The sequence below is a fragment of the Homo sapiens genome, chromosome 1 (assembly GCF_000001405.40).
Source record: "Homo sapiens chromosome 1, GRCh38.p14 Primary Assembly".
Classification (NCBI taxonomy): Eukaryota; Metazoa; Chordata; class Mammalia; order Primates; family Hominidae; genus Homo; species Homo sapiens.
In genome coordinates, this window is record NC_000001.11 from 231,820,462 (window position 1) to 231,847,871 (window position 27,410).

A 27,410-nucleotide genomic window follows, 5' to 3' on the forward strand; every position below is an offset into this window, starting at 1 on the left:
AATGAAACCATTTAAGAAATGAGCAATATGTAGTATTCTTAAAAAAAGATTTTGATTTCCAACAATAGTTGTGGAATGCAGCGTTCAGGGGAAAAAGGCAACTCATGGATGATCAAGCCACCCTGCTTGTCAGGAACCCAGACTCTTCTATCTTGTTCTTCTCTGCCCCACAACATGTGCCATTCAGTCCAACCTGGCTGACCCAGCCACATGCATGTCCAAGTCCAGTCAGAAAAAAAACAAAGAAGGAAGAGAGCTCATCTATCCCCTTTAAGTACGCTTTTAGAAATCTGCACACATCTCTGCTACGGCCACATCCCTGTGACCTTAACCTTGTTATATGGTAACAGCTACTTGCAAGAGGGGCTGGGAGCTGTCCTTACCCTGGGCAGCAATGTGCCCCACTAAAGTGATGAATTCTGTTTCCATAGCAAAAGGGGAGATTTGCAGTCTTAGGGAACAATTAGCAGTGTCTCTCGTACAGAGACCTTTTAATGATGTGAAGTGTATCTCTAATGATGCACCTGAGATGAATTTGCTGCATGCATCACTTAAAATATCATTGTATCTTGTGTCTCTGGCTAGATTGTGAGTCCACCGAGGTCAGAACATTGTTCTTAGGTTTCACTGTACTGCTTTGGTGTCCAGCATGATGTCTTTTAAAATAGTAAATATACTATACCATCAATATTTGTTCATTTACTGGGGCCAGATGTTAAAATGACACATGAATGAGTCCTCTCTTCCTGCATTTTAGATTGCAGATCTGGACCTTGAATCTTCTGCTTCTTTATTCATTTTCCAAATTAATGAGGGTAGTGATAAGTTTGTCTTTCTTGGAAGGTGCTTGAGTTGTCTGAGTTGGATATTCAGTTTGGAGTGTCAGTAATAGAACAATACGGTGATAGAAAAGGAACTGAAATATGCCAAGGTACTCAAGGGCAAAGGGAGACAGACCTCATCACCGAATCCATTGGCTTTTGTTGCCAAGACACAATCTCTATAAAGAGATGATAAAGAAGTGTGCTTTAACTCCTGTCAGCTGTTCTTGAGACTTCAGGATAACACATTTGAATTCGGAGCAATGTTAAGTGCAGTGAAATAGAAGGAAAAGCTAAATCTATCTTCCAAGCCTTGAATATTTATGGAAATTAACTATAAACATTTAATTATTGTGGATTCCAATGTGTGTGTTTATTTAAAGAAGGGTGGAATGAAAAAAATCAGCAACTTTTACAGTTTGCTACATCTGCTTTTTTTTTTTTTTTTGAGACAGAGTTTTGCTCTTGTCACCCAGGCTGGAGTGTAATGGTGCGATCTCTGCTCACTGCAACCTCCGTCTCCCAGGTTCAAGCGATTCTCCTGCCTCAGCCTCCCAGGTAGCTGGGATTATAGGCCAGCTAATTTTTATATTTTTTTAGTAGTGACGGGGTTTCACCATGTTGGCCAGGCTGGTCTCAAACTCCTGACCTCAGGTGATCCACCTGCTTAGGCCTCCCAAAGTGCTGGAATTACAAGCGTGAGCCACCGCGCCCGGCCTACAACTGCTTTTCAAGTTAAAAGGACAGCCCTCAGATTTACGCAGCAGTTTTTCACCATCCCTTGTGTATAAATTGGTAATCTGTATTGTACTTTATTAATATTGTTGATTTCGCACTGTAACTCAGCTATAAAGGAAACCGACGTCAAGGGGAGAGATTTAATCACAGAATAATCAGGACTAGAATTTTAAATAGGACATCATTAGCATGTTAATGAATTTTCCCACCTTATGCCAGCTGCCTGAGTAGAAAAGATACTGCAGATGTAGCTCAAAAATCTGGCTGGTTCCCTGGCCCAGTGAGCTGTCAGGAATCTGTGTAGGGTGATCCATAAGCTAAGTGAAGGGATTCTAAGTGAGAATACCAAGCAGCAAGATTTTGTTTTTCTGAGAACGATGGCTAACTGTGCCCAGCCTAAACTCATTTGTCTTTCGGTGAGTAAGAGGGGAATGGGAGGCAGAGAAGGGGCAGTTGAAGGGCAATGAGGTTGGAGTAGAGGCACCTTTCCAATTATGGTTTGGGATTAGGACCTTTTGCTTTAGATAGAAAAGTTGTAAGTTCGCAATGACAAGATCCTGCCCTAATTCTTGGCACAGTCTCACAATTTTTGAGCTTGAAATAGCTAATGAAAGGAAGCATGAGTGTCTTAGTCCATCTGCGTTGCTATAGAGGAATACCTGAGGCTGGGTCATTTATAAAGAAAAGGGAATTCTTTGGCTCACAGTTTTGCAGGCTGTCTAAGAAGCATAGTGCCAACATCTGCTTCTGGTGAGGGCCTCAGGCTGCTTCCACTCATGGCAGAAGATGAAGGGGAGCTGGCCTAGGCAGATCACTGGTGAGAGAGGAAGCAAAAAGAGAGAGAAGGGACATGACACACTCTTTTTAACAACCAGCTCTCCCAGAAACTAATAGAGTGAGAACTCACTCATTGATGACCAAGCTATTCTTGAGGGATCTGCCCCCAGACCCAGACACCTCCCATTAGGCTCTACCTTCAACATTGGGGGTCAAATTTCAACATAAGGTTTGGAGGTCAAAGAAAAGAAACTATAGCAGTGACAGATTATACTGAGATATCGGTTTAACTCTGAAGTTCCCAGATGCAGCTACTTGCAGAATTTCACTTCACACCTATTAAGAAAAGTCTTTTAGTTTAGAAATCCTGTGAGTTACAAGTTCTGCATATATAGGCAGTAATTCTTTTTTCCATATATGTCAGATATATGTAGAAGAAACTGATGAAAAAGTAGAACAAAAGAATAAAATCTATGGGTCTCTTTTATTGGCAGGGAGAGGGAGGAAATGGAGAGCCGGGACAATACATACAACAAAGATAAAAACAATAAAATTAGCAAACAACAATAAAATTTAAAAACAAAGACAGAAGAAAATGCCAATGTCAAGTGTTAATTATTTGGTTGAGAATATGATGTGATAATGAACTTCCTAGAAGTCACAGCAAAGAAGACAGTTGAAGCATCATCCTTCTTCCTCAAAAGCACCTTGAAAAGCACAGAGCTTTTTGGGAATTCAGAGTGATGCTAAATTCTTCAAGACACTTCTCTTGAAAGCATAGTGGAAAGTCCTCCTGAACAGATTTATAACACATGCAGAAAGCTCTTTTACTTGTATTATTATTTTTTACAACTTTTTATTTTAGGTTCAGGAATACATGTGCAGGTTCTTTATATAGGTAAATTGCATGTCATCGGGGTTTGGTGTCCAGAATATTTTATCACCCAGGTGATAAGCATGTTATCCGATGGTTGTGACCAACTACCTCTAGGAAAAAAACATGTTGGGGATCCCTTCAAAGCAGGAGGGACTGTGCACAGGAGAGACTGAAACCACATACACATTTTAGATATGTAGGTATGGACAGTTTTTCCCACAAAAAGATCCAGTTTTTCAGCAGATTTTTAAAGGGGTCATTCTAAGAGTCCTCAAATTTTAAGAAACATTAAGATATTAAACTGTCGAGGTGAATTAGGGCTTGGGCTAGTGAAGTTTAAATACGGCATCTTCCAATTTCTGACATTATTTCAAGATGTAACTTAGCACCTAAAAAGTGGCTGGAGAACATATCCTGTACACTCACCAAATGTCACTTCTTTCCTCTGAGCTTTGGCTACGACCTATGTATAAGAAAACTTAGCTCTCCGGGCCAGAACGGTGATAGTGCTCTTGATAACAGAGGGCCAAGCCGTCTGCTTTGGAACCAGATGAGTGTTGCGGTGCTATGTGGCAAGAAATGTAGATGTTTATATGGGAAATAGATATGTGTCTGCCTTTCCAAATTCGAAATCTTTGGTCATTTAGATTTAAAAAAAAATGTCAAATAGGATCTTTTGGAAGAAATAAAAAAAATTCAAAATCTTTTCCCTCAGGTTTTTCTGATAGGCTGAGGTTTTAAATCTCTAATCATTTATCTTTGATTTGCCTTATTGATTACATTATCACTTTATCAGGACCCTGACTAAATCTGTTTGTGTTTTTAATTTCTCTCCATTTTTTCCTTTCCAGTTACATCCTTGCATCACTATTAGTGTGATTATTTCCCTTCAGCCATTTTTGCCTGTGAATTTCTAAGCTTGAAATTTGCAGCTAACTTTCTCCCTCCTTTATTAAGTCGCTGTGATAATTCTTTTGGGAGGCATCGCCATACAGTGGAAAAAGCCTGGATTAGGATGTAGGGGGTGTCAGTTTAATCTCAGTCCTGCCCTTCCCTAATCATCTGCATAGCACCTGATATATATAGCATCAGAATGTGAGGCTCAATGAGTGAATAGTCTTCAGCAACTCACTGAATTTTATCTGAGTCTCAGTTGCTTCATATGTAATACTGTAGAACCAGATCTTGAAGTTGCATTTCTATCCATCCATCCATCCATCCATCCATCCATCCATCCACCCATCCATCCATCCTTTCCACAAGCATTTATTGAGTACTTACGATATGCTAGGCGCTGTGGCAGGCCCTCATGGTCCAGAGATGAATTAGATAGTCCCTGTGGCTACTGAGGTCCCTTTTAACTCTAGCCCCTTGTATGTGAATTTCCACAATTCAATTTATACTTTGTTCATTTATTTTCTTGCTCTCAGCTACTTTTGATCTCCTTTTCCCACTTTTATCCATATATATTTTTAAAAGTCCCTACTATTGTTACATCTTTTTTCACTTGTCTCTCTACTTGTTTCTATACTCCCTTAAAATACGTAAGTCACTTACCCCCTGGGTGGAAATACAATGATGTTTTCAATTATATTTCATACCAAATTGCAACAGGCAGTTTTTTTTAACATGCTAATTCATTTAGAGCAGAAACTTGACTCTATGTAATAGGGTGGGTACATGTGTCTCTTAAATATCTGCCAGATTTTCTGCTTTGTAGATTATTCTTACTAATCAGTGCGTATTAGAGTCTCTTTGTACATTTCATATGGACTCTGGGCTTTGATAATGTTGGTAGACACATGTACTCACACACGCTCATATAATGTCCTGAAGATTAAGCTAAGAGTGATGGTAAGTGGAACTTCATGATCTTAAAGAAGAGCCTGTTTGCCATGTTTTGGGTGAGGGGATTATTTTTTGCATGGGGACCCTATCATGTATTGCAGAACATTTCACATCCCTGGTCATTGCCTGCATCCAACTCTTCTTCCCACCCCCATTTTTCAATGCCCCCAGGTAGGAGTGGTACCACCCTCAGTTAACTGCATAACTTCAGCCTAATGCTTTATGTTTTAGTATCATTCCTATGATTTGAAAATATGTTGTCATGATCATTAGAACTTGCCTGGAATTAATAAAACCAAATTCTATTATTCACATTATCTTTCATATAGATCCTTAGAGGTTTAAATATAAGTTCTTTGCAGATTTCTTCCTCCATTGCTCTTTACTGTGTATATTCAGTATGTATTTCTTGGGCACAGATTTCTGTATGCACAGATGAGCTACAGCTATTGTGGATTTAATGTTTTCTTTGAAGAAAAGGAATGATCCCTTGTACGAAGTCACCCTCTTTTTAGTAACAAAGACTTATCTCTTTCTTTTTGTTTCTCAAGCACTTGAGAACTAAGCACTGTGCTAAGACTTGACATACTTTAGTCATCTCATCCTCTGGACCACTGTGGTACTGGCTCCACTGGAATCTCTGTTTTACCGATGAAGAAGCTGAGGTTTAGGAAGGATCCTGTCACAGAGCCTTCAGGGGGCAAGGCCACCATCTGAATCCCTCTTACCTGCCATTTTACCTTTGACGTTGCTTTATGTTCTTTATGAATTTGATTCCTAACGTCAGTCTCTCTATCCATCCCGCAACCTCATCACCCTACCTAAATACCACACTCATAGATTCATAATTACAAAACAAAAGTCTACAAAAAGTCATCTATTGATGATGTTGAACATCCTGAAAAGACGGGTATTTTTTTTTCATTTTTGAAGTTTTCAAGCACCCTCCCTATATTTTGTGCCTGAGATGATGATCCACTATCTGCCATGTTGCTATAGCAGATGGATAATTTAACTCAGTAGTAGGAGGTTCTATAGGTTATCACCCTATGAAACTCATATCTTTTGTATTAAAACCTCAATTCTTTATTTTCGAAGGGTGACTAGGAGAAACTTGGCATACTACCATAAATCAGAGAGAAGTTGAACTATAGCAATTTAATTGGATACATATTCATTGACTTCAAACCAGTTTTTTGTATATTTTCAAATAACTGTTGCTAGTTCTGCTTCCTGTTCTAAAATGCTGAAATGGCAATCTTTTCCTTTGTATTCCTATAAGTAAATGCATTGGTTATTAGATTGATACATTACTCAGTTCCTGGTAAAGAAGTAGTTAGAAGCCCTGTTTGCTTTTAAGAATTTACTAATTTGTCATCCTTTTGATTACAAGGAATTCAATTTGCAACATGTGATGTCAATCTTTCTAGGCTTCTTTTGAGTGAGTTTTGAACTTTAGTTAAATAAAACAACTTTTTTTTTTTGAGACAGAGTCTCAGTCTATTGCCAAGGCTGGAGTGCAGTGGCACGATCTTGGCTCACTGCAACCTCCACCTCCCGGGTTCAGGCAATTCTTTGCCTCAGCCTCCCGAATAGCTGGGATTACAGGCGCCCGCCACCATGCCTGGCTAATTTTTGTATTTTTAGTAGAGACGGGGTTTCACCATCCTGGCCAGGCTGGTCTTGAACTCCTGACCTCATGATCCACCTGCCTCGGCCCCCTAAAGGGCTGGGATTACAGGCATGAGCCACTGCGCCCAGCATAAATAAAAAAAATTTAAACTATTATATAATTTAGGATTTTCAGGAATGAAGGTTGATTCTTTATAAACCAAATTTGATTTTGTGAGGTTTTGCAGAATTTAATTTTACTTGGCTAAATATGACTCATTATATGGTCACAGTTTTTTCAGTGATTAATTTGGTAAGAAATATTTTGTTTTCCTTCTTGGCATTATCATGAGTTATGGCTTCCTGTACACATTCCTGCCATTTTAGCTGTGTACTTTTTCTTTGAAGCTGCCATATGTTAACAACCCAAGAGAGATGGTATTTACTGGAGAGATCATCACTTGTTGCTAATTTGATTTTTCAGATTCTCTGAGCTCTTATAAAAGAGAGAGAGCATGCTGATGAATGTTTTCCTGCCCTGACTGCTTTGAGGAGCTAGTGTTTGCTGCCCTGGGCCCTTAGTCCTGTTATGTTTTGGACTTGGGGATGGCCACTGTGTCTAATCCACTTTCCATTGAGGCTTTTCTGTAACTGGGGAGGGCTGGATCACTGTAGGGGTGGACAACCCTGAGTGAATGCACTGCAATTTAATATTTATGGCCGGTACAGAAACCATCAAGAATTGCTTAAGGATTTACTGACTTGGCATCATCAAAAATTTATGAGGCAGGTATGCTCATATTCCACAAGCCTGCATAGTCATAGAATGTCGTTTTATTTTTCTTTTGACATTATGCTTTCTGGAGTCTTAATAACTCATTAACAACTGATGACACACTTTGCTTTTTGGTTTAATTATAACCAAATTTTATTTGCCAAAATGATGTTTAATTTTTGGTGTATTAACCCATTATGAATATCTCTCTTTTCCTATGTTTACTATGACTGCTTTACATTTCCAGTCTCCCCAAATCTGATATTTTCCTTCCCCAAGAAAGAACCAAATACAATTATATTACGATTGCATGGTCTGTCTGGTTTGGACAGGGTGACTGAAATCTTGGGCTTCTTTTTAACTCTGAATTGGATCCAGCATTCTACTTTGCTTCGTATGTACCAATCTTGTTGGGTGAGACATATACATTGGAATTTGGCAAGTGTTTGTATACCCTTCACCCAACTCCACTGTTTTCAGAGACTGAGTAACAGTAGTGGCTGGATGCCAACTTCATGTCTGCCCTGAGAAGGTCACCAAACACGGACATTCCCCCGTGGTCTGGAATCCTGCAAATCTGTCAGCCTTTGGAAGTGAAGTGATTCTCCCCTAAAGATTATAGAGAAATTCTCTGAAGTCAAAGCTGATGAAATGTCTGGAGTTACTCTAGGATAAAATTTTAATTTATTTCAAAAAATACCTTTAGCATAAAATAAAATTTTTGAAATGAATGAAAAATGTTTATCATGCAACTTCTATAACAGAGCCCCTGGTTGCATTTTTTTGCATTATCTTCTGTGCTTGCAGTACAGGAAAGCTTTTTACACACTTGTACTGAGAAAGAGGATGCAATTTTACATCCTCTGTCTGTCCTTAACCTTATAGGACAATAGTGAGAGCATGGCACCAGTTAATCCTCGTAACTGTAGTTTGAGACAAATTTATCATTCCCAATCTACCAATGTGTGAAACTGAGGCTCAGTGAATTAACAGAGTGGCTCAAGTTTCTGTATATGGGAAGTAAAGAACTGGAATGAGACTCATCTGTCTCACTTCAGAGCCATACTCTTCATTATACACTTCTGTGTCCCTGGTTGCATTATAATATTCCAATTTATTATTTTTTATGTACATAACAGTCCAAGGATCAATATACTGTGACTTACTTAACTACCTCCTTATTCTGAGGTGTTTAATGATTATTTCATGAATTTTTTCTGAAGATAAAGTGCCAAGATTGGGATTAATGACCCAAAGAATGCAGTCATTTTTATGGCTTCATACATACTGCAGATTGATTTGCAGGTTATAGCAATTTAATTGATACTACCAATCCATCCTTTCTAATAATAAGCATTATTTTTTAAAAGATTATTAGTATAATAACAGAGTGGTATTTAATTCATGCCTTGTTTTTGCATATCTTTGACTAATACATTCAACTTGTTTTTTTGTGCCTTTATAAGTTTTTTTTGAGACAGGGTCTCACTCTGTCACCTAGGCTGGAGTGCAGTGGCATTATCTCGGCTCACTGCAACCTCCACCTCCTGGGCTCAAGCAATCCTCCCATCTCAGTCTTCCGAGTAGCTGGAAGTACAGGCATGTGCCACCATGGCCTGGCTTGGTAGAGACGGGATTATGCCATGTTGCCTAGAGTGGTCTCGAACTCCTGGGCTCAAGTGATCCACCTGCCGTGGCTTCCAAAAGTGTTGGGATTACAGAGTGAGCCACCATGCCCGGCCTACTTTTTTTCATTGTGTGTTTCACTCACGTCCGTGTGAAGAGACACCAAACAGGCTTTGTGTGAGCAACGAGGCTGTTTATTTCACCTGGGTGCAGGCAGGCTGAGTCTGAAAAGAGAGTCAGCGAAGGGAGATAGGGGTGGGGCTGTTTTATAAGATTTGGGTAGGTAAAGGAAAATTACAGTCAAAGGGGGGTTGTTCTCTGGCGGGCAGGAGTGGGGGGGTCACAAGGTGCTCAGTGGGGGAGCTTTTGAGCCAGGATGAGCCAGGAGAAGGAATTTCACCAGATAATGTCATCTGTTAAGGCAGGAACAGGCCATTTTCACTTCTTTTGTGGTGGAATGTCATCAGTTAAGGCAGGAACTGGCCATCTGGATGTGTACGTGCAGGTCACAGGGGATATGATAGTTTAGCTTGGGCTCAGAGGCCTGACATTCCTGTCTTCTTATATTAATAAGAAAAATAAAATGAAATGGTGGTAAAGTGTTGGGATGGTGAAAAGTTTTGGAGGTGGTATGGAGAGATAATGGGCGATGTTTCTCAGGGCTGCTTCGAGCGGGATTAGGGCGGCATGGGAACCTAGAGTGGGAGATATTAAGCTGAAGGAAGATTTTGTGGTAAAGGGTGATATTGTGCGGTTGTTAGAAGAAACATTTGTCATTTAGAATTATTGGTGATGGCCTGGATATGGTTTTGTATGAATTGAAAAACTAAATGGAATAAGAGAAGGAGAAAAACAGGTATTAAAGGTCTAAGAATTGGGAGGACCTAGGACATCTAATTAGAGAGTGCCTAAGGAGATTCAGCATAGTCCTGCCAGCAAAGATTATTTATTTACTTCAAAAGTTAAGAGCGGCAGTTTGGGGATAGCACCAGGAGATATCAGCTGTGATGGCTTGGAAAAACAGTGTAAACCGGCAGCGTAAACAAGAGCAGGGCATGTATGAGTAGTTGAGAATGGTGAATAGGAGTATAACTAGACAGAAGATAGTAGGGATGACAAGTTTTTTGGGGCACAGTCCAAGTTGGTCTGGTGTCTGGAATGAGACTGGGGCCTAATAAAAAGGAGCGTCCATACAGGAGCTCAAATGGGCTGTACCCTGTAGCATTCCGAGGACAGGCCTGAATTCTGAGAAGGGAAAGTGGTAAAAGTATTGTCCAGTCCTTTTTAAGTTGGTGGCTGAGCTTGGTGAGGTGTGTTTTTAAAAGACCATTAGTCTGTTCTACCTTTCCTGAAGACGGAGGACCGTAAGGGATATAAAGGTTTCACTGAATACTAAGAGCCTGAAAAACTGCTTGGCTGATTTGACTAATAAAGGCTCGTCTGTTATCAGACTGTATTGAGGTGGGAAGGCTAAACTGAGGAATTATGTCTGACAGAAGGGAAGAAATGACTGCAGTGGCCTTCTCGGACCCTGTAGGAAAGGCCTCTACCCATCCAGTGAAATGGCTACCCAGGCTAAGAGGTATTTTAATTTTCTGACTTGGGGCATGTGAGTAAAGTCAATTTGCCAGTCCTGGGCAGGGGCAAATCCCCGGGCTTGATGTGTAGGGAAGGGAGGAGGCCTGAACAATCCCCAAGGGGTAGTAGAATAGCAGATGGAACACTGAGAAGTGATTTCCTGGAGGATAGATTTCCAGGATGGAAAGGAAATGAGAGATTCTAAGAGACAGGGTAGCAGCTTGTAACCTATGTGGAAGAGGTTATGAAATGACAACAGAATAGAATGGGACTGTGAGGCTGCAAGGAGATATTTTCCTTGGTCTAAGAACCATTTGCCTTGTGTGGGAAGAGACTGATAGGTGGAAGTTTCAGCAGGGGAGTAGGTGGGAATGACTGATGTGAAGGAGAAAAACTGGCCGTGAGGGACAGAAGTTGGAGAGCTAGCTGCTTGTCTAGCCACCTTATCAGCATAAGCGTTGCCTAGAGCAATGGGATCTGACGCCTTTTGATGGCCTTTGCAGTGAATGACTCCAGCTTCCTTTGGAAGTAAAGCCGCCTTGAGCAGAGTTTTTATTAGAGGCATTAATGATGGAGGACCCTTGCGTAGTGAGGAAACCTCTTTCAGCCCATGTGACCACATGGTGGTGTATGATATGGAAGGCATATTTAGAGTCAGTATAAATATTGACGTGTCGTCCTTTTGCAAGAGTGAGGGCTTGAGTTAAGGCAACTAGTTCGGCTTTCTGAGAGGTAGTGGGGGGGGGTGGGCAGAGTGGTAGCCTTGATGATAGATGTGGAAGCTACTATAGCATAGCCTGCCTTTGCTGGTGAGTGGCGATTAGGCCTGGTGGAACTGCCATCAATAAACCAAATGTGATCAGGGTGAGGAACAGGAAAGAAGGAAATATGGGGAAATGGGGTGAATGTTAGGTGGATCAGAGAGATACAGTCATGAGGGTCAGGTGTGGTATCCAGAATAATGTGGGAGGCTGGATTGAAGTCCATGCCAGGAACAGTGGTAATTGTGGGACACTCAACAAAGAGTGAGCACAGCTGAAGGAGCCAGGGAGCAGAAAGTATATGCCTCAGGTGTGAGGAAGAAAATAGATTTTGGAAGTTATGAGAACTGTAGAGAGTGAGTTGAGCATAGTTTGTGATTTTGAGGGCCTCTAAAAGTATTAAAGCAGCGGCAGCCGCTGCACGCAGACATGAGGGCTAGGCTAAAACAGTAAGGTCAAGTTGTTTGGACAGAAAGGCTACAGGGTGCGGTCCTGGCTCTTGTGTAAGAATTCTGACCTCACTAACCATGCCTAGGAAGGAAAGGAGTTGTTGTTTTGTAAGGGATTGAGGTTTGGGAGATTAGTCAGACATGATCAGCAGGGAGAGCATGTGTGTTTTTATGAGAATTATGCCGAGATAGGTAACAGATGAGGATGAAATTTGGACTTGACTGAAGTAATGGGGGCTGTCTGTGAAGCCCTGTGGCAGTACAGCCCAGGTAATTTGCTGAGCCTAATGGGTGTCAGGGTCAGTCTAAGTGAAAGCGAAGAGAGGCTGGGATGAAGGGTGCAAAGGGATAGTAAAGAAAGCATGTTTGAGATCCAGAACAGAATAATGGGCTGTGGAGGGAGGTATTGAGGATAGGAGAGTATATGGGTTTGGCACCACAGGGTGGATAGGCAAAACAATTTCATTGATAAGGCGCAGATCCTGAACTAACCTGTAAGGCTTGTCTGGTTCTAGGACAGGTAAAATGGGGGAATTATAAGGAGAGTTTATAGGCTTTAAAAGGCCATGCTGTAACAGGTGAGTGATAACAGGCTTTAATCATTTTAAAGAGTGCTGTGGGATGGGATATTGGCATTGAGCAGGCTAAGGGTGATTAGGTTTTAATGAGATGGTAAGGGGTGCATGATCGGTCACCAAGGAGGGAGTAGAGGTATCTTATACTTGTGGGTTAAGGTGGGGGGATACAAGAGGAGGACGCAAAGGAGGCTTTGGATTGGGAAGAAGGGCGGCAATGAGATTCAGCTGTAGTCCAGGAATAGTCAGGGAAGCAGATAATTTAGTTAAAGTGTCTCAGCCTAATAAGGGAACTGGACAGGTGGGGACAATTAAAAAGGAGTGCTTAAAAGAGTATTGTCAAAGTTGGCACCAGAGTTGGGGAGTTTTAAGAGGTTTAGAAGCCTGGCCGTCAATATCTACAACAGTTATGGAGGCAAGGGAAACAGGCCCTTGAAAAGAAGGTAATGTGGAGTGGGTAGCCTCCATATTGATTAAGAAGGGGAAGGACTTACCCTCCACTGTGAGAGTTACCCAAATCTCGGCATCCATGATGGTCTAGGGGGCTTCCAAGGCGATTTGGCAGTGTCAGTCTTCAGCTGCTAAGCTGAGAAGATCTGGGAAGGAGTCAGTCAGAGAGCCTTGGGCCAGAGTTCCAGGGGCTCTGGGAGTGGCTGCCAGGTGAGTTGAACAGTCCGATTTTCAGTGGAGTCCCGCACAGATGAGACGCGGCTTAGGAGGAATCCTGGGCTGCGGGCATTCCTTGGCCTGGTGGCCAGATTTCTGGCACTTGTAGCAAGCTCCTGGGGGAGGCAGGCCTGGAGGAACTCCTGGTCACTGCGGTTTAGGCATTTGGAAGTTCTTGTGTGCTGGAGATGTGGCTGGGGTTTGTCTCACAGTGGAGGCAAGGAATTGCAACTCAGAAATATGTTGCTACTTGGCTGCCTCTACTCTATTATTGTACACCTTGAAGGCACGGTTAATGAAGTCCTGTTGTGGGGTTTGAGGGCTGGAATTTAATTTTTGGAGTTTTATTTAATGTCCAGAGCAGATTGGGTAATAAAATGTATTTTGAGAATAAGACGGCCTTTTGACCTTTTAGGGTCCAGGGCTGTAAAGTGTCTCAGGGTTGCTGCCAAACGAGCCATGAACTGGGCTGGGTTTTTATAGTTGCTGAAAAAGAGCCTAAACACTATCTGATTTGGGATAAAGAAAAAGGAGCATTAACCTTGACTATGCCTTTAGCTCCAGCCACCTTTTTAAGAGGAAATTGCTGGGCAGGTGGGGGAGGGCTAGTCATGGAACGAAACTGTAAGCCAGACCGGGTGTAAGGAGGAGAGGTGATAAAAGGATTATAGGGTGGAGGAGTGGAGGCCGAGGAAGAATTTGGACCTAGCTTGGCCTGGTGAGGAGGGGAGAGGTCAGATGGGTCTGTAGAAAAGGAAGATTAGAAAGACTTAGCGACGCTTGGGGTTGGGACTGAGGGGACAGGCAGGAGGGAAAGAAGGAAGATTTGGGATGAGTTGTACTGGGAACAGAGACTAGGGAGGGACCGATGTGTAAAAGAATGTCTGGACGTCAGGCATCTCAGACCGTTTGCCCATTTTATGACAAGAATTATTTAGATCTTGTAGGATGGAAAAATTGAACGTGCCGTTTTCTGGCTATTTGGAACCACTGTCGAGTTTGCATTGGGGTCAAGCGGCATCGCAGAAGAAAATAAGGCATTTAGGTTTTAGGTCAGGTGTAAGTTGAATAGGTTTTAGGTTTTTAAGAACACAGGCTAAGGGAGAAGAAGGGGGCAATGGGGGGCAGAAGCTTGCCCATAGTGAAGGAGGCAAGCCCAGAGAAAAGAGAGAGTAGAGACACGGAGAGAAGGGATGGGGGGTTCTTGCCCCCTAGAAAAGCTGTACTTGCCACTAACGGTGAAGGACCAAGGCAGGCGTCCCTGCATGGTCAGACACCTCTGAAACGTGGGTGAATAATCATGCAGACATCCCCGTGTGATTAAACACCAAGCGAAGACTGTCTTCCCGAGTCCGTGAACAGCGCCAGAGTTTTGGGTCCACAGATAAAACGCGTCTCCTTCATCTCTACCAGAAAAGGAAAGGAACTGAAATTAAGAGAAGGGAGAGATTGAAGTGTGGCGCCAAGATTGAAAGGAAAAAGAGGTTGAGGGATAGTGAGAGAGGTTGGAGAAGAGAGTAAAAAGAGGCCGCTTACCAGATTTAAAATTGGTGAGATGTTCCTTTCTGAGGACCAGAGGTCATAGGTGGATCTTTCTCACAGAACAAAGAGCAGGAGGACAGGGGATTGATCTCCCAAGGGGGGTCCCCCGATCTGAGTCACGGCACCAAATTTCACTCGCGTCCGTGTGAAGAGACCGCTAAACAGGCTTTGTGTGAGCAACAAGGCTGTTTATTTCACCTGGGTGCAAGCGGGCTGAGTCCGAAAAGAGAGTCAGCGAAGGGAGATAGGGGTGGCGCTGTTTTATAAGATTTGGGTAGATAAAGGAAAATTACAGTCAAAGGGGGGTTGTTCTTTGGCGGGCAGGAGTGGGGGTCACAAGGTGCTCAGTAGGGGAGCTTTTGAGCCAGGATGAGCCAGGAGAAGGAATTTCACCAGATAATGTCATCAGTTAAGGCAGGAACAGGCCATTTTCACTTCTTTTGTGGTGGAATGTCATCAGTTAAGGCAGGAACTGGCCATCTGGATGTGTACTTGCAGGTCACAGGGGATATGATGGCTTAGCTTGGGCTCAGAGGCCTGACAGTGTGTTGTCTATGTCCTTTGTCTATTGGTTTTATTTTGAAGGAGGCACCTAGTGGTTTTCTTCTCTTTATATAATATGGTTATCAATCATTTTTTCCTATTTGTATGTGTGTGTGTATTTGTGAAATTAACCCCTCATCATGATTAATAGTGGACCAAGAACAAAGTATAAAAAATAATATCATGTTGAGATAACGGCGTAGAATGGATTTTAAACTTCTTAAGGCATTAGGGTGCAAATGATGTACTAAACAACATAGACCGATCTTTCTGAGTAAAAACATTCTATTTCCACTCTGTGTATTAATATGCATTGGACCTGGCCTTTCAAACAAATGTGATATTCAGGGAACTGCCGCAATTGAGACCTTAATAAACCAGTTTCACTTTTTTCAGTAAATCTGTGAAAGCTATTATTTTACATTTTCTCCACTGTTAAAATACAGAAACTGAGAGAAGTACTCAGTATCCTACCCAAGACCTTATTTTTCTTCAGGATGCATCTCATGTTTTGTACTTCACTGTCTTTGGCTGTTTTTTTCTTTATTATTTCCCATTTTCTTAAGTTGATCCATTATAAAAACAACTCCTGCTTACAGGACTATTTTTTTCCTTCCAGAGGCGTGCTGTTATTTCATAGGTGAACGGATAGTGTCCTGATGGTGTCTGTGGCCCTTGAAGCTGCAGTTTAAGGAGGGGGTTCAAAGAAATGGTAGAGAAAGGTCGTCCCTGTCCTGGAAGGATGCCAGATAGGATGACCTTTGAAACTGTCATCAGGGGCATGAAAAATGGGTTTGCAATAGTTCCCTGCCCTTCTCTGCATAAACGATATACAGCATTTGATATTAAGGCAAATATCCTTTTCCATTGATGATGTGTAATCATAAATCATAAGAAATTTCTATGATTTCGGATTCAGGAAGGCACCTTTCTACCTGTTGCAGCTGTTGGGAGTCATTCTCCCTCCAGCCCGACTATGTCTTCCCACGGCTTTTGGCTGCTCCCATTGGCTTTCACATTCTCCTCTCCACCTTTGGACTATCCCCTACCCTTATCTATCCACACATTCACTTCCTACATTCCTTCCATGCCTAATCAGGACAGCTCCTCTGACCACCTTAACTTCCCAGGATGTCCGCGTGCTCTGGATAAAGTGCGCTAAGCCCCGCCCCGCCCCTCCCCGTGTGATCTGAGTCGGGCCCCACTGACTTTCCTGTACACACATCCTCTGTCCTCCTTGGACCCATATTTGTAGTCAGTCTCTCTGTTCCCACTCTGCATGGCACTTGACCTGATGCTGGGAAGGTAATCATTATCCTTCCCTTAATGTTTCAGGATTATTCATTCTATTTTGCCACATCTAATGTAATATTTAATAGCATCTATGAAGAAGACTGAAGACTATAAATAAATGCTCTCTTTAGTATTGAGAAGGTTTTATACAATATAAAATTTAGAGTACATTTTTTTCTCAGGAGGTCTGACATTAATATTAATCGTGAGCCCCAAAGTAGAAGCTTTTATATTTTAGCATAATGAAGTTTACCATATGTTTCAAAGTCACTTGCAATTGTGCTTCTCATAATGACAATTAGAAAGGTCATCCTGTCTTGCCAGGCTCCATTAGGTATATAAACCAGCTCGTGGCTGTCACCGTGAAATGTGTTAAGGCACTTGTATGCAAATTCAAGGGGAGACATGATATTTTTTATCCCAAAGTGTAGCTGTTTACAACTAATTACCAAACACGGAACAAGCCTATTGTTTGCCTTTACATGATATATGGGCATAGAAGTTTCTAAAGCAAATTCTCCTCTGTCTTTTCATTGATTAAATTATATGAAGTCACCCTCTTCCATGAAGCATTACATGATGAGGTCCCCAAAGCACTGAATAAAGAAATTTGTCATTAAGACACTGGTGTATTTCTGATCTATATATTTTTTTTCTGCTTCACTCGAAAAACTTATTATCTGCATGAAAGTATGGAAACTGTTATTGTATTTAACTCTCTACATGTGAACCTTGAAGAAATGATGGGGCGAAGGTGAAATGAAAGGGAGGAGGTGAGGAGGTGGCACAAGTAATGTTTTCTTATGGAACTTGTAGAGGGATAAACCTACATTAGAATCAAAGCAGGTAATTCCTGGGAAACTGAAGCATGCCATTGTGGATGTGGGTCATGGGAACTGATGCTGGAAAAAAATAGTTCCTAATCTGGTTTGGGAATGGCAAATTTCGTTGCCACAATTGAAATATTAATATACTTCTTTGTATGAATGCCCTTTCATTTATGCCTTTTTTTTCTTTAAGAGGCATTTTTTCTCTAAGACAGGCTAAACTTCTGTATTCAAGCCTTTAGAGTTTGCAAACATTTATCAATAGATAAGAAAGATAGATAAAAAGTCCTGGATTCATTAATGCACAGCCATGGTCTCTACAGTTTTGAAATTTCTCACTTGGGAGAATACTGGAGAAGAACATGTGGCCCGTGAAGCATTTGACTGTTAATATTTCGTACTATTCAGATGCTTTAATTTAAAAAATTAATCTATGAATTTAACATATATTCATGGGATGCAGACACTGCAGAGAGCTGCCTCTTCCTGGACTTTGTGTTTGAACTGTGTTCCGGTTGCTTAAGCACCCATCTATCTGGAATGGTTTGTGTTCAGGTTTTCCAGAGGAAAGGATGACTCCATGTTCCTCAAGGAACTTTCCAGGCAAATGAATTTGTTATTTTTTAATATTAAAAATGATCCTCTTTATTGAGAGTGATAGACTAAGGGAGGAATAAACAGTTGTAATAGCCCTGTGACACATAAGCGGAGAAAAAAACCCCCTCCATGCTTATGTAAATAGGAAGGAGAACAACTGTAGCAAGAATATAGAAAAGGACTCCTTTCTTCTCTCTTCCACTCTCGTTTTTTGCCCTTTGGCCTAAAGCTGTTAACATTGGGTGAATGTCCCTGTCGTCATCTTGCATTATATCTCACGTTCTGTTTGTTATTGATAGGGATGGATATCTGAGAGTCTATATCAAGAGTTACATGTAAGTTTGTGTAAGGCCCTTCTTTTGCTTCTACATTTTTGCTCGTTGTATGGATGCATTTTGTAGGACTGTGAGCTTATATTTAAAACACCTGTGCGGCAGTGGACCCTTGTCACCGCCTGGCCTCTCATTCAGAAGCCTTAGCTGTTCCTCAACTCCTACAACACATGTTGAGCGCCTCTCAGGTGCCAGCTACTGTAATAGGCACTGGGGAGTGGAAGGGTGACAAGATGTGATTCCTGACCTCGAGAGCTTTGCAGTCACTGGTGGAGGAGGCACATGTACACAGCAAATAGGGCACGATGTGTTGAAGGATGAAATGAAGCAATAAACAATAGGTATCAAGACAGCAGAGATAAGGACAACCAAGGATGCCTTCGAGGAGCCAGGGAGAGCCTCACAGAGGAGGCAGGGCATGCACCGTGGCTTGGGGATGGAAGGGGCAGAAATAGTGTTGTTTTAGGGAAGAGGAGAGCACAGACTCAGAGGTCGGAGGAACGTGGCACATCTAGGAGACAGGGATCCAATCCCAGCCCTACCACTTAGCAGCTGTGTAACTTTGGGAAAGTTTGCTAATCACTCTGAGTATGTTTCCTCCCACGTAAAGTAGAAATACTACTACTACTAATATTGACCTCTTAGGACCATGAGTAGATAAAGTAATAATACATGTAACAATCTTGGCTTAGTGCCCTAGCGTATCATAAGGACTCAATAAATATTAGTTTATGTGATTATTGATCTGGCTGGACTGAAGGGTGTAAGAGTGAGAATGATAGGAGATGAGGCTGGAGAAGTGGACAGAGCCAAACCATGAGATACCTTTTCACCAGGCTGGGGTTTTCAAGATTTCTGAAAGGTCGTGGCTAGCCATTAAAATAACTTGGTTTCTGTATCCTCCACTGCTCCTGAACATTCTTGTATTACAGTTGTGTTAGTCTGTTTGCATTGCTATCAAGGAATACCTGAGACAGGGTAATTTGTAAAGAAAATAAGTTTATTTGGCTTATAGTTCTGCAGGCTGTACATGAAATATAGTGCTGCCATCTGCTTCTGGCAAGGCCTCAGGAAGCTTACAATCATGGTGGAAAGGGCAGGGGAGCCAGCCAGCGTGTCACATGGCGAGAGAGGGAGCAAGAGGCGAGGTGGAGGTGCCAGGCTCTTTTTAAACAACCGGATCTTGTGTGAACTCATTACCACAGAAAGGGCACCAAGCCATGCATAAGGGACTCGCCCCCATGACACCAGCACCTCCCACAAGGCCCCACCTCCAACATTGAGGAATCACATTTCAACATGAGATTTGGAGGGGGCAAACATCTAAACTATATCAAAAGTCGATGATTAAACACAGTCTCATATAAATGTTCTACCTCAAAAAAACCCAAACATTGCACACCTATTATAGCTAAGATAAAAAATACTGACAACACCAAGTGCTGCCAAGAAGGTGGAGCAGGCCAATTGCTCATACATCTCTGGTGGGATGTGTCAGTATCGCAGGTGGGGTTGTAAGAGTAGAGCCATCTGGAAGACAGTGCCAGTGGCTTATGGAGTTAAACATTACACTTGCCATGTGACCTGGCAATTCCACTCCTGGGTACTTATTTATCCTCTAGAAATAAAAATTTATATCCCACAAAACTGTAATGAATATTTATAGCAGCTTTATTCATAATTGCCTAAAACTGAAAACAAGTCAAATGTCCTTCACTGAGTGGATAGAATAACAAACTATGGTACCTTCACATAGTGGAACACGACTCAGTAATAAGGAACAAACTATCAATATACACAACAACCTGGCTGCATCTCAAATGCATTGTACTGAGTGAAAGAAACCGGTCTCAAAAGGCTACAGCTGTAGCATCCTATTCATACGATGCTCTGGAAAAGAGACCTCTAAGGGCAGGGTTTAGGAATTGGGAGAGGGGCTGGGGAAGGGTCTGATTAGAAATTAACAGCCCAAGGGAATTCTTGGTTTTGTTTTTATTTGTTTTTTTTTTTTTGTTGTTGTTGTTTTTTGAGACGGAGTCTCGCTCTGTCACCCAGGCTGGAGTGCAGTGGCGCGATCTCAGCTCACTGCAAGCTCCGCCTCAGCCCAAGGGAATTCTTTAGGGGCCTTGGGATTGTTCTGTATCCTGTTTGTGGTGATGGTTACAAGTTACAGCCCATAGAACTGTACAACAAGTGAATTTTACTGCGTGTAAATTTTTAAAAAATTTTAAAAACTTGAAGACATATAGCTCATTTACCACGTGCTTTACCTGTCTTATCTCATTAATCCTCTCTATGAGGTTGATGTTATTATTACAGGTCGAACATTCCTAATCTGAAAATCCAAAATCTGGAATGCTCCAAAATCTGAAACTAATTTTGAGGCCTGACATGATGCTCAAAGGAAAAGCTCATAGAAGCATTTCGGATTTTGCATTTTCAAATTAGAGATTCTCCACAGGTAATTATGCAGATCTTCCAAAAGCTGAAAAAAATCTGAAATCCACAACACTTTTGGTCCTAAGCATTTCAGATAAGGGATACTCAACCTGGATCTCTATTAGTGCATTATTATCTACTACTATTATTATTATTGACTAAGCAGAGGCTTTGTGAGGTTTGGCCCAAACCTACATACCTTCCAGGGGGCAAAGCCTGGCACAAGCCAGGTGTGCACACTCCCCAGACCCTGAATTTCCACAGCATTGCGAGTCACCCCTCAAGGAGTCACAGAGTGGGTGGTAGATCTTTCTCAGGCTCTTGTACAGGCTGTACCTCAGTTTATCCAGCTCATTGGTCAGTGTGGTTGCTCTGTGCATCATGCTGGTGCAACTTTTACAAATGTGCAAATGTTCTAAATGCTTAGTATCAGAGAGGGAGTTGCCTACTGAATATTTTCTGACCTCTTAACTTGTACTGTTGGCTAAGTTAAATTTGGCTTCTTTTCAAGGAACTATTACCTTCCTAGAGGGTTTGTGTGGTGACACCCATAAAAATCTTATTCAGTTTTTGTTCAATTCACAGCTTTAACTTAGTCTCCTTAAAAATCACTCAGGTTGTAACCAAAGGCTGCTCTATGGCTGAGTAGAATTGTTAATTATTAATAACTGTTAATCAACTACATAGTCAACCTCAGACAAGAGGGCAAGAGATAATTCCTTAGACACACACACAAAAAGAGCAAAATGTTAAGGTTAGAAAACAGTAAAAACGATGAAGATATTTAATTCTTTTTGCATACTTTGTAATTATTTGTTTAAATATCTATTTCCCTAGCCTCTGTGCCAGTTTTTCTCGTTGTTTTTTATTTTTATTTTTTTAAGAGAGGGTCTTGTGTTGTTGCCCAGGCTGGAGTCCAGTGGTGCAACCATGACTCACTGCATCCTCACACTACTGGGCTTTGATCCTCCCATGTCAGGCTCCCAAGCATCTGGGACTACAGGCATGCACCACCATGCCTGGCTAATTTTTAAAACATTTATTTTTGTAGAGATAGGATCTCTCTCTGTTGCCCAGGCTGGCCTTGAACTTCTGGTCTCAAGCAATCCTCTCACCAGTCCTCTCACCTCAGTCTCCCAAAGTGCTGGGATTACGTGAGCCATTGCGCCCAGCCTTTTCGAGGCTATTAGTTTTCTGCCCCCAGTTCCTGTAATCCTTGCATAGAATAGGGGCTTAGTAAAGGTTTGCTGAGTTAGAACTCCATTTCAATGGATATTGAACTTGAGAACTGAGTGAGACTTGTGGAGTATGGTATTTCAAAGTATTATTTATCCAACAGTCTGATATTTCAGAATCATTCATTTGCCAACTCCTATGTAGGTACTTTGGAGATATTATTTGAGTTATTCCTTATGACATCCCATGCAGCAAACATATTCCTTCCTAAATGAGGAAGCTGAGGCTAGGAGTGATGAGCTGATTTGCTTGTTATGCACACTGGATGGAGTGTGAGCTGTGTCAGACACGTGAATTCAGATCCTCTTGTGCCACATCAGAGGGACATGAGATGGGGTGGCTGTTTCACTTCTGTGAGCCTCACTTTCCCCCTCATTCATTTATGTAACCAATGGTGGGTCCAGGTTTTGTGAGGACTGGAGCTTACATAATTTGAGTATGGGTCTTATTTAAAGAAAAAAATATATAGGATTATGATTCAAATTTGGATACAGGGTTTGAAGGAGACTTGTGACAGCGGGAGACCCTGAGGCTTATGTGCCATTAGATTCATGGTAAATCTGTCCTTGCTTTCAACTAATTTTTATAGTGAGCCACTACGTGCCGGGCTGTGTCTGCAGCTGGTTACATGTGCTGAGCCTAACAGTACCATCCTGGTCCTCTAGAATGCTAGAGCCCACTGGGAGACACCACCAGAAAACAGACAACGGCAGTACAGTCAGATAAGTGTATGATGGGGGGGTATGAAAAGCCAGGAAAGATTTCTGGAAGAGATGACATCTAAGCTGCTACTCAGGATATGTAAAAGTTAAAATGGAGAAAAGTATGGAAAGCCCATTTGAGGCAGAAGAAAGAACAAGCATGAGAGGTGATAGAGAAAAGCTTCCTTATGGGGACCGCAAGAAGTTTAGTGGGGCTGCGTTGTTCAGTGGGGTGGAGGAGTGGGGAGAGCTTCAGCTCCAGAATTAGGCAGGGGCCAGGTGGGCTTGTGTACCACTTAAGGAGCTTGGAAATGGTCCTAAGAGCAATAGGAGGCACTTGGACAGATTTAAGCAGGGAGTGATCTGATAAGATTTGCATTGGGGGGATGAAAAAAAGGCCACACTGGGTCCAGCTGCAGAATGGAGAGAGAATCCACTCCACACTGGGCACGAGGGCCATCCCCCTGCAGGGAGGCCAGTGGCAGGAGAGAGGAAGGTGACAGGAGAGCAGCTGTGAGAACGAAGAGGAGGGGATACGTTACAAAGTTGTTCAGCAGTGAGAACCAACAGGACTTGAGAGTGGATGCTTAGAGGCAGGAGGTGCAGGTGGTCATGAGGGAGGAGATAAGATAGAAGCTTAGCTTTCTGGCCTGGACCACCGGTGGGGGGTATTCATTAGAATCAAGGCCATAAGAACAGCAGATTTGGAAGAGATTGTATGTCTCCTTTGAGCCAGTTGAGTTTGCAGTTTCTGAGTGACATCCAGGTGGAGATGTTCAGTGGAGAGCTGGTTGCAAAGCTGAGGAAGGAGAGCTGACTGACGGCAGGGCTTTGGCTGTTCTCAGCATATGGATTATAATTAGAGCCGTGCAGATAGATGAGAGTGCATGGGAAAAGCCAGTGCAGAGACAAGATGGTGCAAAGGAGTATCCTAAAGAACATTAATCTTTAGGGGACAGGCAGAGGACAAGGAGCCACAAAGAAGCATGAGAGACTGTGGTCAGGGATGAGGGAGGACCGGCAGGAGTGTGTGAGGAGCACGGATTGTTTTTGTTTGTGGGGTTCCCCTGCCTTTAGGGACACACTAACTCTTTGGATATCAACTGGTTGTCCCGGAATTCCATTTAGCTCTGTTTGACTTGTGTGCAGAGCCCATGGTTTTCACAGCCCCTCTTCCTTTCAGATTTGATAATTTGCTAGAGTGGCTCACAGAACTCAGGAAAACACTTTACTTATGTGTACAGGTTTATTGTAGAGGATACAACTCAGGAACAGCCACATGGAAGAGATGCATAGGACAAGGTATGGGGGTGGCGCAGAGCTTCCATGCCCCCTCCAGGTGCGCCACCTCCCAGCACTGCCATGGCCTCACCAGTCCAGAAGCTCTCTGAACCCTGTGGTTTAGGGTTTTCATGGAGCTTGGTTTTATACATTTTAGGGAGACATGAGACATCAATCAAATACATTTAAGAAATACATTGGTTTGGTCCAGAAAGGCAGGACAACTTGAAGCAAGTTGGGCGGGCAGGGAGGCTTCCAGGTTATAGGAAGGTTTAAAAATTTTCTGATTGGCAATTGGTCAAAAGAGTTATTATCAATACCCAGCATTTTGGGAGGCCGACGGGGGTGGATCACGAGGTCAGGAGATCAAGACCATCCTGGCTAACACGTGAAACCCCGTCTCTACTAAAAATACAAAAAAAATTAGCCGGACATTGTGGTGGGCGCCTGTAGTCCCAGCTACTCGGGAGGCTGAGGCAGGAGAATGGCATGAACCTGGGAGGCGGAGCTTGCAGTGAGCTGAAACTGTGCCATTGCACTCCAGCCTGGGCGACAGAGCAAGACTCTGACTCAAAAAAAAAAAAAAAAGAAAAAAAAGAAAAAGAAGAGTTATTATCAATAAGAAGGAATGTCTGGGTTTCGATAAGGGGTTGTGCAGACCAAAGTTTTCTCATGCAGCTGAAGCCTCCAGGTGGCAGGCTTCAGAGAGACTAGATTGTAAATATTTATTATCAGATGTAAGGTCTGTGTTGATGTTAATACCGGAGGTTATATTGAGGCATGTTCAACCCTACTTCCCGTCATAGCCTGAGCCAGTCTTTCTGGTTAAATTTTAGAGTTCTCTGGCCTGGCAGGAAGTCCATTTACATGGTTGAGGAACTTAGAATTTTGTTTTTGGTTTACAAAGAGAAAGCAGAGAAGGGTGATGAATGACTGAGCCACATCCTGGTGCCAGCTCTGGACCGGGTTTGGCTGTGGTCTCCACAAACATTTTTGAATGAATACATGAGTGAGCAAGTGAGTGAGTGAATGGGAGGAAGGCCGGCGGGGGGAGGTTTGAGGAGAGTGGGGAAAGGTCTGCTGTGGTGCCTTGAAGGTGGGGAGACCTGGCACGGGGAACACAGAATTGCCAGGTGGATTTGGTGCCCATTTGGAAGGTGGCCCAGTGACTTCTGGGGACAGTGTCCCTGAGATCATGCATTTTCCCCAGCTGTGCTCAGCAGCCTGCTTCAGGGAGAGGGAATGGCAACAGCGAGCACGCCAGGCTGGGGGTTTCCAGGCAGGTAGAGGAGAAAGGCAACTGGGTTCGGGAGCCGAACGGAGTGGCAGGAAGGTGAGTGAAGTGATGGATGGCTATGTCTACACTGGAGGCTGGTAAAGGAGGGAAAGTGATAGGTTGAGGGGTGGGTGGCTGGATGTGGTCGTGGAACAGGGGCAGAAATAACTAGGGTGTGGGAAAAGTAGTGGCAAGGTGGCTGGGAGCTTGGTGGCTCAGTTTGGGTGCAGATGAAGCCAAGGTGAAGTGAGGTGGGATGGTGAGACCAAGGACCCAGAAGCCCAGGTGTCGGCCTGGTGATGCAAGGATGGCGGCAGGGCTCGGGGTGGGGAGGAGGTGGAGGTCCAGGATCAAGGCCCCCAGAGAAGGGGGATGTCCCAGATGAGAGCAATGAGAAGGACAGCTTGGGGTGAAGCTGAATGCCCTGAGCCTTCAAGCAGCAACAGATTATACCTGAAGGTAGAGCCACGTTAGGGACGTGGGAGGACACTGACTGCTTGGGTAGGGGTGGGGAGTGAGCATCCACACTCGAGTGGCTGCAGATGCCATGAGACCCTCCAGGGATGACCAGGTCACTGTTAGGGCAGAGAGGAGGAGGCAGCTTTCAGAAGGAGCTGGGCATGCAGAGCTTGCTAACCAGTGATGGAGGATCCAGGCAGTAGGGCAAAGCCCATGGAGGGGCCCACAGGACGGGACAACTGCGAAGACACTGTCTGCCTTGGAATGCGGGCAGCATCTTCATAGCCATCCAGGGATTTGGACCCTGGCCTTCCTAAGTGAGAGCTATACTTTTTCTATAATTTCTGCCACTACATAACTGCCAAAGTTAAAGGTGGAAAAAGAGTCTCTGTCCTAGCTTTTCAGCGACCTTTTCAAAAGGAACAGAAAATCGTCGCATTCTCTTGCTTCTACAATGCCAGTGATTGTCTGATGCATCCTGGGTTTGACAAAGGCAGGTAGACACTCACGGTGCAGGGACACGCCAGTTCCAAATCGCATCTTTACTTTTTAAATGTTGAAAAACAAAAAAGACAGTGCATCTTAGAATTTAAGGCAACATAGTAACTAAAGTGGCGGAGGCTTTTAACTGAAACCAGAAGAAACAGCATGAGTTTTGTTGTTTTATGTTTCTTAGCTGAAAGAAACTCAGGCAGGATAACGTGATAAGGAAACTCAGGTATTTGCCTGTGATTAGTTCAGGAACTGTTGAAAAAAGACTCTGGGATTGGGCAGAACTAGAGTTTAGATCACTAGCTTGAAGGACTTTTAAGTCCAGTTTAAGATTTGGAGAGAGTTATAAAGGCTAAGCCAGCATTTATAAGAACATGTACCAATTAGAGAAGTACAGGAGAATTTGCTGTTTTCTCTGTTATTATAAAGATCATTGTTCTTAAATTTACATTAGTTTGCTAGGCCTACTGCCACAGAAAACCACAGACTGAGTGGCTTGGACAACAGATGTTTATTTTCTCCCAACTCTGAAGGCTGGAAGTTCGAGATCAAGGTGTCAGCACAAATGGTCTCTCCCTAAGCCTCTCTGCTTGGCTTGCGGATGGCTGTCTTCTCCCTGCGTCCTCCCTCACATGGCCTTCCCTTTGTGTGTGTCTGTGTCCTCATCTCCTCTCCTCATAGGGATGCCGATCAGACTGGTTTAGGGCTCAACCTCTTGACCTCGTTTCAATGTTATCACCTCTCTAAAGACCGTGTCTCCAAAAAGTCACATTCTGAAGTACCAGGGATTAGGGATTCAACATATAAGTTTTGGGGGAGGACACAGTTCAGTCCATAGCAGCCTATTCCATACCTCATTTTATAAGAAGAGAATTTAAAATCAGATCCTTGCCTAGCACTCTTCTGGTCACACACAGAAAATAATCCAGAAAGTTACCTTGGCTGCTCAGCCTCATGTGGCTGGACCCTCTGTTGCTGTAAGACCTCACCGGACCCTTCTCCGTCCTCGCTCCTTCACATGCTGGAACCTTCCTTACATGTCTAGATGCACCGAGCTTGTTCACACCTTCAGGGTTTGTTCCCTCATCCTAAAATGGTTTCTCCTTAGTTTTATATGGCTCTACCCTTGTGCCGTTTTGGCCTCAAGTTAAATCCTGTTCCTCCAAGAAGCCTCCCTGACCATCCAATGGAAAGCAGCCACCCAGCAATGCCAGATCTCATTACCCTGTCTCAGTGCTCAGTGTGGTACTTATTGCTGGCTGATAGGGCCTCATTTATCTTGTCACCAAT

At 43.0% G+C, this 27,410-nt stretch overlaps 1 protein-coding gene and 2 long non-coding RNA genes across 16 annotated transcripts in view, besides 1 other annotated feature; 2 read left to right on the forward strand and 1 right to left on the reverse strand.

The window, feature by feature from the left end:
- The window catches only part of LOC105373170 (uncharacterized), a 42,129-nt gene extending 14,887 nt beyond the window's left edge, over positions 1-27,242 (reverse strand). Inside the window, exons 1-2 of one of the 4 annotated variants that reach the window (XR_949268.4) lie at positions 27,058-27,242; positions 2,264-2,373 (exon numbers count right to left, since the gene is read on the reverse strand). This is a non-coding gene — a long non-coding RNA (uncharacterized LOC105373170). Of the gene's footprint in view, positions 1-1,768; positions 1,853-2,218; positions 2,374-27,057 lie in introns of those variants that run through there. The other 3 variants (XR_007066940.1, XR_949269.3, XR_001738521.2) reach the window with 3 other exon arrangements.
- Positions 1-27,410, forward strand: part of TSNAX-DISC1 (TSNAX-DISC1 readthrough (NMD candidate)) — a 512,620-nt gene that overhangs the window by 291,809 nt on the left and 193,401 nt on the right. The gene's annotated exons all lie outside the window — the stretch shown is intronic.
- The window catches only part of DISC1 (DISC1 scaffold protein), a 414,483-nt gene that overhangs the window by 193,672 nt on the left and 193,401 nt on the right, over positions 1-27,410 (forward strand). The gene's annotated exons all lie outside the window — the stretch shown is intronic.
- Positions 10,898-11,408: an enhancer, noted in NCBI's record as "NANOG hESC enhancer chr1:231967105-231967615 (GRCh37/hg19 assembly coordinates)". NCBI's record gives its function as "activates a minimal SCP1, AML or CMV promoter by ChIP-STARR-seq in primed H9 embryonic stem cells {active_cell/tissue: H9 hESC(primed)}" and the evidence as "EXISTENCE:reporter gene assay evidence [ECO:0000049][PMID:30033119]".